Source organism: Homo sapiens, chromosome 4 (genome assembly GCF_000001405.40).
Source record: "Homo sapiens chromosome 4, GRCh38.p14 Primary Assembly".
Lineage (NCBI taxonomy): Eukaryota > Metazoa > Chordata > Mammalia > Primates > Hominidae > Homo > Homo sapiens.
Genome location: NC_000004.12, coordinates 42,439,568 through 42,457,104, shown reverse-complemented (window position 1 = coordinate 42,457,104; position 17,537 = coordinate 42,439,568). Strand labels below are relative to the sequence as shown.

The 17,537-nt window shown below is 37.5% G+C and overlaps 1 protein-coding gene across 11 annotated transcripts in view; it reads left to right on the top strand.

The window, feature by feature from the left end:
• Window positions 1–17,537, top strand: part of ATP8A1 (ATPase phospholipid transporting 8A1) — a 248,733-nt gene that overhangs the window by 200,001 nt on the left and 31,195 nt on the right. For 10 of the 11 annotated variants that reach the window (NM_001400027.1, NM_001400026.1, XM_047449508.1 and 7 more), the window contains 6 exons: window positions 1,506–1,580; window positions 1,686–1,808; window positions 5,046–5,124; window positions 10,461–10,522; window positions 12,471–12,527; window positions 13,433–13,540. In NM_001400027.1, coding sequence (NP_001386956.1) covers window positions 1,506–1,580; window positions 1,686–1,808; window positions 5,046–5,124; window positions 10,461–10,522; window positions 12,471–12,527; window positions 13,433–13,540 — 504 coding nt within the window. Of the gene's footprint in view, window positions 1–1,505; window positions 1,581–1,671; window positions 1,809–5,045; window positions 5,125–10,460; window positions 10,523–12,470; window positions 12,528–13,432; window positions 13,541–17,537 lie in introns of those variants that run through there. The other variant, XM_047449510.1, reaches the window with a different exon arrangement.

Sequence of the window (17,537 nt, the reverse complement as noted above, 5' to 3'; positions counted from 1 at the left end):
GATTTCTCTGCTTTTGTTGTGGTTAATATGTGTTACAGCTCTAACACAATTTGGACTTATTTTTAATGTGCTATTGCTACTTTGTTTTCTTTTCCATCTCATAAAGCAGACATTAGTTTTTATACATGCTCAATCATTCCTTTCCACTGTAAAAAGGAAGATCAGTGTGGCTACAGAACCTGTTCATAGGGAGGCCAGCCTGGGTATATATTGATAAATGGTGAATTTGTAGTAATTCATGCTTCCATAATGAGGTTAAATGAAACGTGAAGTGTAGCAAATTCCCTGCAACTCTGATTCAAAAATTCAGTTGAGCCGCATGTCAAGACCGCTCTCCTCTAACAGTTTTGTAGTTGTCGGTGTTGTTAGGTTTTGTTTTTGTATTTGTGCTTATGTAATCTCATTGCTGGACCAGCCTTTGTACTCTCCCAGATCCATTTGATATTTGATTTTTAATTATACTTCAGGTCTGCTTTTTAAAAACAATAACGTAGGTACTATTGTTTACTAATTGTCACTTTAATTTTTCTTATGTTTTAAACATGCTAGAGAAAAATTTGTCCATATTGTCCCTTAATTTTGTTTCCAAAGTTAAGATTTCTGTTTTAAAGAGAATTGTAAAATATATAAGAACATTATGCTCTAGTCAAGATGGGATTTTATCAATGAATAAAATTTAAGTTAAAATATTTTAATATATAAACTCAAATTTAAGATTCCATTGGCAGTGGTTATCAAGAACTATTAAGAAGACTCATGTACTTTGACCTATTCCACCTTAAGAATTCACCCTAAGGAAAAAAGAGAGATATATGGTTTCAGTTTAGAGTTATTTATAATAGCAAACAACTGGAAGCCAGCTAAATGTCCAAAATAGTTACATCCACATTGTAGAGGTTACATATCCATTAACATCATTTTAAAGGATATGTGACAACTTAAGAAAATGCATATTACATAATATTAAGGGGGTGGAGCAGAGTATGACACTCTCTATATGCAGGTTTCCAGTAAGGTAAATTTGTGAATTTGAATGAACTATACAACCAGTGCAGACAAAAATGGTGATTGTACTATTGCAGGAAACTATTTCCTAAATAAACAAGTGTTACTTTTATAATTTTAAAAAACAATCTTTAAATAACTACAATCCTGATATTTTAAAAGGGAATTGAAGCTGTAAAAATTTAATGGCATATAAATATATTCTCTGAAAGTACCGTTAAGAAAAACAAGATTATTTATCATTTTTAAATCGTGATTGCCTGTTCATATATTTCTTTTTTGATTCAGCAAGCAGGACCAATTCTGACATAAATAACAAATACCCTATGAAAGCATCTCTTTCAATCAGAAAGTAAACCAAAGAAATGTCATTTTCAAAAGAGTCATGAGTATAATATGTTAATGCTGCTATTATGCAGCAGTTGAGTATACAACAGATTCTAAGCAATGCATTTATGCTTTTGTATTCTAATTTGGGGGTTTTGGGTTTTTTTTCCTAGATCTGGTTTGCCTTTGTTAATGGCTTTTCTGGACAGATCCTCTTTGAAAGATGGTGTATAGGTCTCTATAACGTGGTAAGTTTAGGACATTTGATAATTCCTGTTTCATTGAATACTTGGGAGATAAAGGTTCACCCTGCATTTGGCTGCTTGACATAATGACCAGTTTGTGCGCTTTAGATGTTTACAGCAATGCCTCCTTTAACTCTTGGAATATTTGAGAGATCATGCAGAAAAGAGAACATGTTGAAGTACCCTGAATTATACAAAACATCTCAGAATGCCCTGGACTTCAACACCAAGGTAGGACACAGTGCCCTGGCTGGGACATGTTTGGTGGGTCTGTGTTTACTGCCCTCATTATATGGGGTATGTGGTTTTCAAAGGCCAAGGATACACTAGCCTGAGACAACTCCAGGGTACCGACTATGGCAAGTCATATTTCTTAAGGTTCTGATACAGGCAGAGAAGGTTTTTTGTTGGTTGGTTGAGTTTGGGGTTTTTTGTGTGTTTTATTATTAAAATGTAACCAAATTCACTTGGGTTTGTAAGGCAGCAATAAAGCTGGCCTGACGTATAAAAATCATTGTCCTTTTGGTTCTCTGGCCTTCTGTCTTTGCAGTGTTGTGGTGACATGCTCACTCCTCACAGGGGTTAGTCATCTAGGACTGGTAAGGACTGGCTTTATGTGTGTAAAGGAGTGAGAGAGGTATTTTATTGTTCCTTAACTGATTTTCCATTTTGTGAAATAACTTTGTCCTCATTAGAATTTTAGATTGATTGTGTCAGGCATTAAAATTACAGTCTCTGGGAAATAGTACTCAGTATTTCCAAGCTCTAAAATTAAAAATACAAGATAAAATATCCAACAGTTTATCTAAAATCACATTCTGGGTGTGATCCAATAGTATTTATCCCAGACACACACACACACACACCTCATTTTCTATATAGTTTACTTTCCTGCAAGTATATATTCTAAAGTGTTTCCATTGGTATTTGTTAATAATTCAATTTCTTGTTTAATGTGAGTGAGGAGGAAAAAATTTAATATTACAACAATCAAGTTAGGTGTCATTTTGAAACTAACATTTGTATATTAGTGTTATGAAAGCAACAAATAAAATACACTTTCACAGAATTGTTTTTGTTTAATATAGTGCATGTTTATTAGCATGTTACTGATAATTAGATGTAACCTTAACTCAGAATCTTGAATTCAGGACAGTTAATGTAGGATATTTTAAATATTTAGGAATTCATAAAGCTTTTCAATGGCATTTTCCATATGCCAAGAGAATAAAGTGAAACAGGTGTTTTGGTGCCTCTAACCTCACAGCATAAACGATAGTGCTAGGTTTATGGGCAAGACATTATTCTTCTGAGACGTGATCTTCACGAACACAGCGTGCCTATGTATCCAGCTGTACACATGCATACAACTTGGTGGCACTGTTTTAAATAAATGAATTTGGTTAGCTCAGGACAGACAGACTGAAGGATTCTTTAACTTATGCCATTGGTTCTGAAAAGTATTTTTAGTGGACTCTCTTAAAACTAATACTATTAATGTGCAGTTATCTCTGCTTTCATTTTTAAATCTTTTACTTCTAGATTTTTAAATTTATTTGTGATGCCCAGTTTGTATTAAATTTCATCACATTGCTGTAATGTTTTTCATTACCTATGGTGAGCATTCACAAATGATGGCAAGCCACAATCAGACTATGGCCTCTGGTTCCCCTGAAAAAGTGATCTGAGAGCTGGGGAAGTTCCAGGTCTACTGGTTGGTATACTAACAATAATTCTCACCAACCAACCTCAGCCACAGGCCTCGTCTACCATAGTGTGGGCTCCATGGTACTGTCTCTGAATTTAGCCTCTAACCACAAATTTGGCCATGCCATTCTTGCTTAAAAACATAAATTGATCCTCACAGAATTACCCCAAATCATTCCTGCAAAGGCACATTCTTCTGTACATGGCAACTTGGACACATTTTTGTGGCCAGGAAAAGGGTATAGCGGGTAGTATATTGTTTTAATGTGGGAGCATCATTCCTCGTATCTTTTATTGTTGAAAAAAGTCTTTTCATTATCTGTAGAGCCCAGGAGTTCAGACAAGTCATCAGATCAACCCAAATGGGTTATACAATTTCTATACCCATTTGAGTGTTTATAGTTTTTATACACGAGTTGCCAACCCTGTTTTACAGGGTTTATGGATTTTTCTAGTGATTTCAGTGAAAAGTATTTGATTCAATCTCATATAAGTGTTTGAAAATTCAGGGACAAATGGCTACAAAATGCACAGTTGTATACACAGCAGTTGCTGGGGGTTCCAAGTGCGGGAGCATTGTTGCCCTGAATGATGATGCTTATGTTTGTTATGGTAAAAAGGGTCGGAGGTTCTGAGGTCGTGACAGGGGTTAAAGGATTAGCATGTGACAATAAGTATCAGTCAGGAAAATGGAAAAGTAGAACTAATTTTTCTTGCACCCACCTGTGCTTTCTGTCAAATAAAAACTTGTGGTAATGACACAGTGAGGAGAAGAGACAAAGGTTAATGAGTAACACAAGTTCAAATGTGTAATGTATTGGAGCGTAAATTGGATCATACAATCCAGTGTGGCTGGGAGAACTAACAAAAGAGATTGAGCTCACAGTGGAAAATTTTGGGAGGCAGGCAACTTAATTTCTGTTGTTTGAACAGCTTAAAACTATTAATACATGCCAGTTTTATTTAGCATAAGTTTTGTTTGCAAGAAGCACTTTTAAATGACAAAACTACAACTGTTCAGAGGGGCCATAAGAATTCTAAACAGTTTTTCTATAACTTAATCTTTCACATCCATGTTACAAAGAAAGTACCAGTGACGCTTGCTCTCTTGTTCTTAAAATACAATAGATATAAAAAGTAGTAACTATTATATGATGTTATAATTATACAAAACTTGGTATTAACACTGTTAAATTGTGAAAGCCTTTAGTAAAGTCATAGTCACAGTGCTTTATTTGTATGATTATATAATACTGGCTATAACGAGTATATATCTTGATACCCTGCAGAGAATAGTATAGAGTATCTTTATATCTCTTGATAAGAGAAAGCATTACATCTTTAGCATTGGAAAGCTTACAGTTATATGTGGGGAATATAAAGGGATTTCCCCAAATTATAATCTTTTAAAAGTCTATTCTTCTGGAATTATGAAAATAGTCCCACTTAAGGAATTTCAGAATTCTGCATTTTTTTATTTTAAATTTTATTTTCTTTTTCAGGCAGAAATTTAAATTTGGTTTTTGAGAAGCAGAAAAAAAAATTCAAGTGAAGCTGAAAAAACATTTTGAGAAACATAAAAATAAATAAATGACCCATGAAAGTCTAAGAGGCAGAAAGTGTCTGTCAGTTCTATTAATTCACAGTGGTGGCCCGACAGAAACACATTTTGTGAATCTAGCTCATAGATAAAAAGAAAGGTCAGAGTTCACAGAGCTAGTTTATCGCAAATGGTTCTCATGGATTTTTGTTTTCCCTCAGGTTTTCTGGGTTCATTGTTTAAATGGCCTCTTCCACTCAGTTATTCTGTTTTGGTTTCCACTAAAAGCCCTTCAGTATGGTAAGTAGAAGGGATATGAATGCAAAGAGATGACTTTTTACTTTTTTAGAAAAATAACTCATTGTCAATGTATGTTTAAAAGTATAGCAGTTTCATTGTATGATATTTCTCTTAACCTAAAATGCATGCACCCAAAAATTGTACACACTTTGAAGATTTTTATTATTCCTTTGGGAGCAAAGTGATTTAATATATGCAAAGCCTTTCTTCTTTACGTCTCATGTTTTCCAAACTTGCAGAGAGTTAAATTTTAGGGCTTTTTTTCCCTCTGTTGATGTATAGTTTGAGGACAATAAGTGCTAATATTTTATGTAGCCTATTTATTATACCTATGAGGCTTGTATCAAGCCCTTTATACTGAACTTAATCAGACATGCTGGTATTTTGAAGTATACTTGAGCCAATGTTTTGGATGAGGTTTTTAATATGTTTTTATGTTCATCTTGGAGTGTTAGCTTTTACTCTGCTCATTTTGAGGGAAGTGATTTTATTCTCTCGGTTTGGAGAAAGAGGATCATGGTGCATTTCCTATACACATAAAAGTCATTAAATAGCTACTTTAGAAAAGAGATCCCTGTGATTCTTAAGCTGGTGCTGCTCTGTCTTGGAGCCGACTTTGCCTTGAGATCCTCGGGAAGACACCAACCATTCAGCGTGCCTGCTTCAATACTACGGTAATCAAAAACACAACACATAGTACACCCAAGGAATTGTCAGTCCTTTATAAGTACAGGCCATACCTACGTCTATCAATTAATGGTTGCCAACAGAAGAGAGTGCTGCCTGCTGCTGCCCACTGATGATCTCCTCTCCATAGGTAGCCAGAGTGATCCCTGCAGAACATGAATCAGGCCAGGTGCTTCCCTCCTCAGAATTCCATAAAGATTTAGCATACTTAGAACAAAATCCTCCACCTCCAAATTGTTCCCCATTCTTCACAGATATTCGAATTGGCTCTCTCCCCTCCGATGCCTCAGGTCTGTGCTCAAGAAGCCTTCCCCGATCATCCTGTCCAAAAGAGCAGCCACCACCTGCCCCCACTGCTCCTAGGCTCTATTCCCTTGTCAGCCTGTATGTCTTCATGGTACTTGTCAATCAGGTTTTGATATGTTTGTTTCTTTTGTATGATCTTTCTCAAAACTCTTTTAAAATTGAAGCTTCAGATGGGCAGGTAATTAGTAGTTTCGTTGCATTCACAGTGCTTAGAACAGTGCGTAGCTTGTAGTAGGCACTCAGCAAATTGTGAATGAATTACCAAGAGCTTGTGGCATAAGCGAGGTGAGTATTACAAAGAAGGCAGTGGTTTCATATTCTAGCTAAGATTTTAATCTCCTTTTTTAATTGCTCAGTAAATTACAACAGTAAATACTTTTCAATGTCTAGGCTGTGGAATGAGCATGGTAAGAATATTTAATTAAAGTGTAGAATATTGACCCTGGAGGCCAGGAGAATTACAGTGAGTTAGTTTGTTGCTTGCTTGTTTGGCTTTGACATATAATTCACATACCATAAAAGTTAACTCTTTTAAAGTGTACAATTCAGTAGTTTTTTAGTATATTCACTGAATTATGCAGATGTCACCACTATCTGATGCCCGACATTCATATCATCCAATAGAGAAGCCCCATATCCATTGGCAATCACTCCCTGTTTCTCCACACCTTCCCTACCAGACCCTGGCAACTACTTACATTTTTTTTATCTCTATGGATTTACCTATTCTAGACATTTTATATAAATGGAATCATTATGTGACCGTGGTTCATCCATGTTGCAGCTGGAATCAATACTTCCTTTTTATGGCTGAATAATATTCCATGGTATAGATATGCCACATTTTTTAATCTGTTCATCAGTTGATGGACCTTCAGATTGTTTCCACTTTTTGGAGCAACAGGATATGGAGGTCCAGGGTACAATTCAAGATACCCTGACCTCAGACAAGCTCTCCAAGTAAAATTTATTTTCAAAATGCAAAATTGATATAGGTTTGAAAGATAAGGTATGCCCGTCTTCTAAACTGCTATTTCAACCTTCTAAATTAGAAAAAAAGAAATTGAATATCAAAAGTCACTTAAACCAGATAGCATCCAAAACACCTTAGCAATGACAGGGTTTGAAAGGAATTCCCAAGTGACTTCATCTTCCAGAGAAGCAGTTCCTAGATCCATCATTACGTCTCTCTGGAAAGCTGCGCAGCTCTCCAGCTTCAGTCAAGGCAGTTCACGGGAGTGCTGCTTATAGAGACCAAAACTAGCCAAGACTAGGGAACATTTGCTTTCTTTTTTTAAGGGGTGAATTGACGTTTAGCATAAACTACTTTATGGTTTTGATGTTGAGAGATTTGTAGTTGTTGTTTCGCCTTGTTTTCATTTTTAAATAAGGAATGTTTTAGTGGGGAGGGTTCTTTTGTTTTTTGATTTCTGAAAGGATGGGGATACTGAAGAACTTTACACATGCTGTGTAATATATAGCTACATATTCATCTATTCCTTTGCCTCAGCAGTTCTGAAAGAGTAGTCTGTAGACCCTGGGAATACCCAAGACCCTTTTGCCATCCACAAACAGTGGTACCACTGTGCTAGTAGTCATTATATTCTTCACCGTCATGCACTAGGTTTCATTTAAGAATGTGCATGAAGACACCATAAAACTAATGCTTTTATTAAAACTTGAACCATCTTAATAATATTTTGTATTTGACAAAATGGGAAGTATTAACATACATATAAAGCAGTTCTGCATACCAAAGTGCAGTGATTGTCTCAAGGAATGGTGCCTTCTGGATTGAACCAGAGACTGCAGAATCATGCATGGGTAAAAGATCCATTCAAAGTGCAAAGTAGGCTGGGCATGGTGGCTCACACCTGTAATCCCAGCACTTTGGGAGCCCAATGCAGGTGGATCACATGAGGTCAGGAGTTCGAGACCAGCCTGGCCAACATGGCAAAACTCCGTCTCTACTAAGAATACAAAAATTAGCCAGGTGTGGAGGCGCATGCCTGTGGTCCCAGCTACTCAGGAGGCTGAGGCAGGAAAATCGCTTGAACCTAGGAGGTGGAGGTTGCAGTGAGCCAAGATCATGCCACTGCACTCCAGCCTGGGCGACAGAACAAGACTCCATCTCAAAAAAAAAAAAAAAAAAAAAAAAACGCAAAGTACAAAGTAGACTGATGGATTTTAATGCAATAAAGTACAGAAAGTTCATTGATATAGTTTCAGATTCCACACTGGCAACCAACCTTTAAGAAACTACCTCTACCACTTTGAGAAACTACTTGTTGGCCAGGCTTAGTAGCTCACACCTGTAATCCCAGCACTTCGGGAGCCCAAGGTGGGTGGACCACTTGAGGTCAGGAGTTCGAGACCAGCCTGGCCAACCTGGTGAAACCCCGTCTCTACCAAAAATACAAAAATTAGCTGGGCATGGTGACGTGTGCCTGTAACCCCAACTACTCAAGAGGCTGAAGCAGGAGAATTGCTTGAACCCAGGAGGTGGAGGTTGCGGTGAGCTGAGGTCACATCACTGCACTCCAGCCTGGACAACAGAGTGAGACTCCATCTCAAAAAAAAAAAAAAGAAAAGAAAGAGAAGGAGGGAGGGAGGCTACTTGTTGAGTTTTGATGTAGTATCAAAGACTATCCACAATTATTGGAAAAGATTATTAAAATAGTCTTCTTCTTTGTAACTCCATATCACTGTGCAGCTGGATTTCCTTTTATATTTCAACCAAAACGTGAGAATCCAGCTGCTTTCTATTAAGCCAGAAATAAGAGATTGTGAAAACCCAAACAATACCATTTTTCTCACTTATTTTTTTGTTTGCTTTGGAAAATACTTTTCAGAAAACCTGTCATTTATATTACCATGTGTTAGGTTTTATATTTATGATAATCAATACATAATTTTAAATTTTCTGTTTTAATTTCTAATTTGGTAAATATTGATAGACATAAACCACATAAAAACTTTTTGAGACCCTCAATAATTTTTTAGTGTAAAGAGATCCATAGACCAGGAAGTATGAGAATGAGTGATTTACCCAAATTATTCAAATGCTGAACATGCCTTGCCCTGATACTGCTTGGTGATTTACATACAGAACTTCATTGTCACTTCAAAACCCCCTCAGGTTAAATAGCTTCACTCGTTTTAGCTAAACAGAGTTCCATAGGGATTGATTATAAATAACCCAAAATGACACAACTGTTAATAGTAATAGAACTAAACTTCGGTGTCTCCAAAGCTCACCAGTACCACTCTCTGTGTTTCATCCCATACTTTATTCTAATACAGTTTGCCCTTACATATTTGACTCTGAATAAACGTTGAATATGTGCATGCATCACTGTATTATATATACCGTGGATTTTTAATTTTTCAATGGTATCAATGATTTAATTATTCAGCTCTTGCTTATTTTCACTTGATTTTATCAGTACTAGAAATTTTTGTGCATCAGCTACCACTTCCTTCGTCTAAAGCCACATTTGAAGGCGGCCAGGTGCAGTGGCTCACTCTTGTAATCCCAGCGCTTTGGGAGGCCAAAGCCAGCAGATCACTTGAGGCCAGGAGTTCGAGACCAGCCTGGTCAACATGGTGAAACCCCGTCTCTACTAAAAATAACAAAATTAGCTGGGCATGGGGGCGCACACCTATAATCCCAGCTACTCCGGAGGCTGAGGCACGATAATTACTAGAACCCGGGAGCGGAGGTTGCAGTGAGCCGAGATCACGCCACTGCACTCCAACCTGGATGACAAAGTAAGACCGTCTAAAAAAAATAAATAAATAGAAATAAAGCCACGTTTGTTAGTCATTGCTAAAATAACAAAATACTTTAAAATATGCCCCTATACTCAGCCAGATCCTCAAAGAACCACATGCCTGAAACCATACTGGTGTTCCTTGGCCCTCTGTGAGTTGCTTTTATGAATCCCTTTTGGCCCAATGCCAACAACTTTATTGAGAGATAGTGAGAAGATTCCCTATGACTCTCATCCATATTGTTAACAGAGTTCTTTATTACGATCCAGAATGCCCTTTCCTGCTTTGTTTGAACAATTTGTTGGATTTTTTTTTTTTAATCTTGTGGACTCTGAAAATTCGTTAACAAGTCGGATTTCCTTCTTCAATGTTGTCTTTTGTGGCCTATCTTTACAGCAGCTTTGTTAGCACTCAAGAGTGTTTGGGGTTGTTTTTTTTTTTAATCTCATTTCTGGCTCCATTGTGTATCCCTTGATTTCCCTTCCTTCGTTCAAACTTTCTGAATATCTTTGAAAAGATTCTGAAAGAATCTCATTTTCCTTTCTAATAGGCCTCTCCTTTTCGTACAGGTACTGCATTTGGAAATGGGAAAACCTCGGATTATCTGCTACTGGGAAACTTTGTGTACACTGTGAGTGCGGGATGTCGGTCTCGTTTGCGTGTAAAATCAAAACCTTTCATCTGTCCTCATTTTATTTTTAAATTTAAACGTGATATGAGTGTTTCTGGATTTAAGGGTTGTTTACGGTTCCCTTTAAAAATTAAGTAAGACCCAGGGCTTATAATGGGGTCTTATTTCATTTTTATCAAATAATGAAATAAAATAACTGAATGATAGGAAATCAGTGCCGTTAAGTAGCAGAAGGAATGAGGTTTTGCCAAATCTGGGGGGTCTCCTTTCTCTTGGCATCAACCCACCGAAGTAGTAAAAGACAAGCAAAAGTATGTTTGCAGGGGCTGGTGGCTCCTTCTCATATGACATGAATGCGAAAGCAGAGCAGTGGGTAGAAATAGATCAGAGCGTATGTCATGGATGTCTCCTGGGGACACTTTACAGTATCCAGGTCTCAGGAGAGTATTTTTCTTTAATTTATTTCAAACTATATCTCTTCTCTTTTTTTTTTTTTTTTTTTGAGAGGGCGTTTCACTCTTGTCGCCCAGGCTGGAGTGCAGTGGCATGACCTTGGCTCACTGCAGCCTCTGCCTCATGGGTTCATGTGATTCTCCTGCCTCAGCCTCCTGAGTAGCTGGAATTACAGGCGTGTGCCATCACGCCCAGCTAATTTTTGTATTTTTAGTAGAGACAAGGTTTCACCATGTTGGCCAGGCTGGTCTCAAACCCCTGACCTCAGGTGATCCACCCACCTCAGCCTCCCAAAGTGCTGGGATTAAAGGCATGAGCCACCACACCTGGCCTATATCTCTTCTTTTAGAATGTTTGGATCACATAAATTAATTTTTGCATTTAGTAAGTTTTATTTTAACAAATAACCTAAATTGCCATTAGCTATCCTGCTGAGAAAGCTCAACTGTTCTTACTGTAACCTGACTTTACAACCCCACTGGGAAGTGTCTTATCACATGCTGTGTGCAAACCCTTAATGTGCCTTAAAGTAGAACTGGGCACTTCAAGCATTTATTGATCAAGTGCTAGCAAACATCACTTCCATCACCACAACTATCAAAGGTGCCTAGGGTTTCCTTGACGACTAACAATATTTAAGATTGTATTATTATAAATAAATAATATTCCATGTTAATCACTGTTCTGAGTATTTTAGAGTTTTACTCTCAAGAAAAGAAAAAAAAAATCTCTGTAAGATTGGTAAGCTTTATCAGTCCCAGTTTACAAGTATAGGAGTCGAGACACAGAGACGTGAAGTAACTTGCTTTGTTCATTAACCACAATAGCTAAGTGATAACGTCTTGGGCACAGGTAGTCTGACTCCATGGCAAGTACACTTCATAATTATGTTACACTGTGGAAAACACAGAGCAATTAATCCAACCCCAGTTTCCTTTTTCAGAATGACTAGCGTAAGCCCCAGCGATGGGTGCATATATCATGGAGAAATGTCTCATGTCCTACTCAGCAAGGTTTTAAGTAAAGTTCCAGAGTAAGCATTTAGATTTCTAAATGTCTGGTTATTTTATTCATTAAAATTTGTCTTTAAAATTCAGAAAGTTGGACTTTTAATATGAAAGGAGATTTAAAATAAAGGTAAAGTAAGCTTGAAAACTCAAATTAACCCAGGCATGTGCTGTTGCTGTTCATGAATTGTACAAAAAGCAGAAAACACATACAGAGGAACTCGTGGATGGAGGGTCAGGCTGTGCAGGTGAGGGAGAGGCAAGGAAGCCGGAAGTGCAGTGCTGCCCTGGGCACCTCTGACCTATCACAGTCCCGTCAGCTGCCCAGCTAATTTACCTGTCTCTTTGCTGGTTGGATATACAAAGCAAGCAGCAGTCTCCTAGTCCCATAGTTACATTCAGAGATCTCTGTTCTTTATAAATCCTTCAGTCATTTGATGAACTTTCATGTTTATGAGGTAAAATAACATTTTCCCCTTCTGTTTTAGTTTGTGGTGATAACTGTGTGTTTGAAAGCTGGATTGGAGACATCATATTGGACATGGGTAAGAAAATATCTAACCACAACCAAGAAATGTCACATTTACTTGTGCATTATCTCCAGTCTTGGTGGTGGTCTTCACTCTAACTTGATATGTCCCAGGTTAATATGTCCTAGTCCACAGGTTTTCAATTGTGGGGTGTCAGGGGTAGGGGAAGGAGAACTGGAGGTTTTAGTTGGGAAATACTGAGTTAAACAAACTTAAACAAGTGCATTACCACAAGACTTCTCAGAGCCTTTAAAGTATTGTCATATATTATGAGTATCCCAGGAAGTGGTGAGACTTTAAACTTACGGATTACAAGTCTTTTCTTAGAGGTGTCACTGGACTGGTGTTCTGCAGCAAACCCATTGGAAAGTGATTCTGAAGACTGAAAATATTAAAGATTTGTCCTCAGACATTGACAAATACCCAGTCTTGTTCCATTTTAGATACGTTAGTTTTGCGGTGTACCCCCGTCCAGTAGAGACCCCGGAAACAAAAAGACATTAAAGTTTCATGTCCCTGGGAAAGATTGCCACAAGGCGTTTGGATTTAACAGCCATCAGCATACATATAATATTCTCACAAGGGTCTGACATGTTTCGGTGAGAGCATGCAGACCAAGAGTAAGGCAGGCTTCCAAATGTTCAGGGGTAAAAAAGGTAAGCGTAAGAGGAGAAAACTACCAAAAAAGCTAGAGGAGGAACAGTTCGAAATTCCAGTACCACAAACATTGCAACTGTTGTAGAAGAGATTAGCACTTAAAGATCCAATTAAAAAACACACACAATTAGGTAGAAACTCCTATAGATAATATTTTTATGGATATAATAAAAAGTTAATAAGGGAATTTGAGAGAGTTTCATTAGTATTTGTGTACTCGGTCTACATAAAACTTTTTTGACTCAGATTTCCTTGCTCTACAGTTCAGCCACATAGCGATATGGGGGAGCATCGCACTCTGGGTGGTGTTTTTTGGAATCTACTCATCTCTGTGGCCTGCCATTCCGATGGCCCCTGATATGTCAGGAGAGGTAATGTGCGCTAATAACTCACAATCCAACAAAACCTTAAAAACTGGTATTTTTTAGCAAACCTTAATCGTTTAGCATAATTTTCCATCTTGTTGATTTATATTAAAATAGGATTTGACCATTTAAAAGCTGTTTTTAAATTCCACAGTTTCGAGTGATTAATCTTGAGAGAATATTTTAAACTTGAACATTTTACTTAAATCTGACTTACCTTTTCATAAACATAACCAAGACAATAAAATATGGTTGTCGGGAGCTTGAATCTCGTTAAGAATATCCATATAGAAGATGCCATTTTAAAATTACACCATAAAGCCACAAATACATTTTGATTAAAGATTTGGGGAAATGGTGAGTTTCTGTCTGGGGACAGTCTATCATTTCTTCTGTTATCTCTTATTCCAGAGAAAAATCTGCTGTCACTAGATTAAATGCACTTTTTGAGTTGTCCTAATGACATCAGTTTGGTTTTCATTTTGAAAGAATTAGGGCATCTGACATTTCAGCCTTATCATAGTCCATTTTCAATTCTGTCTTTCAGTTTCTTGTTACACGGGTAGGAATTGAGTTATTAGGTGTTCATGGGGGAGTGTCAAAAGATCTCCTTTCCTTCTGAAGAGATTCCAGCAGTAGGAGGGTTTATGATTTCAATTGCAGGAAATTTGACATAAAATGTATAAAAGTAAATGTGGAAAACATTTTGGGATTTCCTGTGACCTCACAGTAACTTGCAAATCAAGGTAATGTGAGCTCCGTGACAGTACATTGTTTTACCGCAGTCCCAGGAACCCTTTCCAGTGGTTTTCATGTATTTGTTGCCCCTAAGTACTGCCTGAGTACCTTTCACTTTTGACAGTCTGGTTTATAGATCATTTTCATGAAATTTTATCTGACAGCATCCTGCTTTTTATAAATTAGCAGAATGCAGACACATTTTTAAAAATTTGTGGTTAAATTTATTAGAGAGAGGCATTATATACTATTACAGCAAAACCAGACATATCAAGGAGTATATACTTCCTTCTACAAAAAGTGAAGGCTTCTTTTGAAACATATATTGTGAAAACTAGAAATTTTAACAGCATGTATTCTAAGCAGAACAGGGAGAATGCCGTGAGTGGGTCTCCTCTTTACCTTGGTTTCTGAGTCCTTTTCCTGAAATAAAGGAATACAACTGAAGGAAAAAAAGTATGTGCATGTGTATGTATCTGATTATGACATTTGGAAAATTTAATTCTATTCTTTGTTTTTATCTGATGTGCTCTGTCTCATTGGACCTGCCTTTCCCTTAGGTCGATTTTAACTTGATATCTTTTTCATTAGACATAAGTCTTTGCCTTCCTTTATCTCATTTCTTAATGTTTATTTTATTTTCAAAATGAATAACACAAAAGATTTGAGACCCAGATGGTTTAAGCAAGTGTGGCCAATAGGTTTGATGACAAGAACTGAGGTTTTGACCACCTACTTCTAGGACAAGTGTGAAGTTTGACTGGCTTTTTGCCCACCAAATATAATTCTACCCTTGCCTGTAGAATTCCCAGTATTACCCAAACACAAAACTTAATATCGTCTCTTGAGACTCATGGTGATGCTGTGTTTAATTCAAAGTGAAATGAATGTCAGTACTCCATCACATTTCTGTTCACTTCAGATACAGTGGGAATGCTAACAGAGGTTCTTTTCTTGTTGTTTTATTACTACTGCTACTCTGAATATAGTGTTTAAATAGCTGGTGCTCCACTGAAAATATGAAAATGGATTAATTCAGCTGTAGGGTAGGCTTGACTAGCACGTCCAAAATGTCTGTTTATTCAAACAAAAGAAGAATACTTTAAGTTTATGTAGCACTTTAGTGCTCCCAAAGCATTTTGGTGTGGGTATGGATGTGGGTGTGGTGGGATGTGGGTGTGTGTGCGTGTAAATGAGCCTCACAATAATGCCAATATAAGGATATAGTGAGAATGCCACTCAGATTCTCCGAGGTAAATCATCTCCATTTACTGTTTCTTGGGCATTAGGCTAATAAGTCCCAAAAAATGTTGTAGCTGTATTCAATTTCTAACATTTTTATTATAGATATAGGGTCACTAGTTATGTTACATTACAACTCAGTTAATTTCAACAAGTAGTGACTACTCTTAGGTCTATATTTTTCTAATCTTAAAATTCTTATCTCAATCAAGAATATAGCCAAATATATACATATATATACATACATATATAAATGTGAAAGATTCATGTATGTGCCAATATTTATATCTGTAGGCATATACATAATTGGCCAACTGTCTTAAAGCTTATTCAACTGTTAACTTTCATAGCAATATATTATTGTAATATATTGTACATTACATATATTATCTATTGCATATAGTAATATATTGTAAGTAATGCCAGCATAAGTTAAATGTTAGCATCTGCTGCCTTGACATGTTTATGATATCCACGTAATGAAACACGGCCCAGAGCAGCCCCGAGAACTTGAGGCCGTTCTGCAGGATTCCTGATGCAGGGTGTAGGTAATTTCTGTCACCACCACTAACAGGGTCATAAGTATCTAATCCAAAGATCATATCCCCAGGATCCCAGTCCTTTCCTGTGTTGATTTGGCAGCAATTCCTTCCACACTAAATAATTAATTATGTACGTAAGTGTGTTTTGGTTGCCCAAAAGCTTAATAAGGGTCTCCAGGATGGTACCTTGTAGAGGTGGAGCAGACAGAGAATAGCAGCCCTGTTCTGCTCTGTGCTGGTTCAGGAGGTATTTTGGAGAGTGAGACACTGTGTGGTTCTAAAGGGACGTTGACTGAATAGAGGAGCTCTATAAAAAGGCAACCAAGATCTGGGAAGAATAACACCAATAATACCTCATGAATATTGAACGCTTACTTTATCCCAGGTAGTTCTGTAAGGACTATATATATATTTTTTTTCAATCAATCAATCCAACAGCTATTGAGATTCTTCTGTGTGTCTGACGCTATTCTAGGCACTGTGGATTCAGTCCTGAATGAAACAGACAGAAACCCATGCCCTCCCATAGCTCACTTTTCTAGTGCAAGGGGGCAGACCATAAATACAATGAGTAATGAAATATGGAAATGTTTAAGTGCCTAGAGAAAAGTACAGCAGGTAAGGGGAACCAAGAGCCATATTTTCAGTTGTGTTTCCCATAAAGCCTTGTGGCATTTACTCATAGTCAGATTAAAAAAAAAAAAAAAAAAAAACTGGAGGAGCTTGAGAGGGAAGTGTCATGACCTGATTTATATTTTCGCTGTAGGACTCTGACTGTTGTATTGCAAGCCGCTTAGGAGGCTATTCCAGTAAAACAGGTGAGAGATCATGGTGTGTGGGGCCCGGAGGGCAGCAGTGGTAAGAAGTGGTTGGATTCTGAATACAGTTTGAGGGCAGAGCCAATAGGATTGATGGACAGGTTGGATGTGAGGAGACAGAGGAGAAGTCAGGGCAGACTCCGTTGTGTTTGCCATGAACATCAGGAGAGAGTGCTTGTCGGTAACTCACATGATCCTCACACCAAATGGGTTGCCATGATCACCACTTTACAGATGTGGAAATTGAGGCACAGAGAAGTTAGGAACCTTATCTGACATCACTATCTGACTCATAGTGGCAGAGATAAGGTTTCAACTTCGATGTCTGATCCCCAGGTCTGCTACCTTAAACGTTGCCCTGTGCTCCTTCTCTGATAATAGTTGCTAAGAGGAATGCATGGTATTTGATCTGGAAATTAGAAGTCTAAAGGGACCCTCAGTCCTCGCAGGTATTTCAGGGATTTGTAAAGGAAAGGAAATCTCTGTATTCTGTTTTACTGGCAGCACTACCTCCTCCATGTTCTTCTCTCTGCCATTTCCTCTCTATAGACATTGCAGCGGTCTTGTTCTTCCTCAGTCCTTCTTCCACATCAGTGCCACAGTAACCATTTCAGAATGCTTAAACTGCTTCTCGAGCGATGACTGTATCTTCATTTCTTTCCT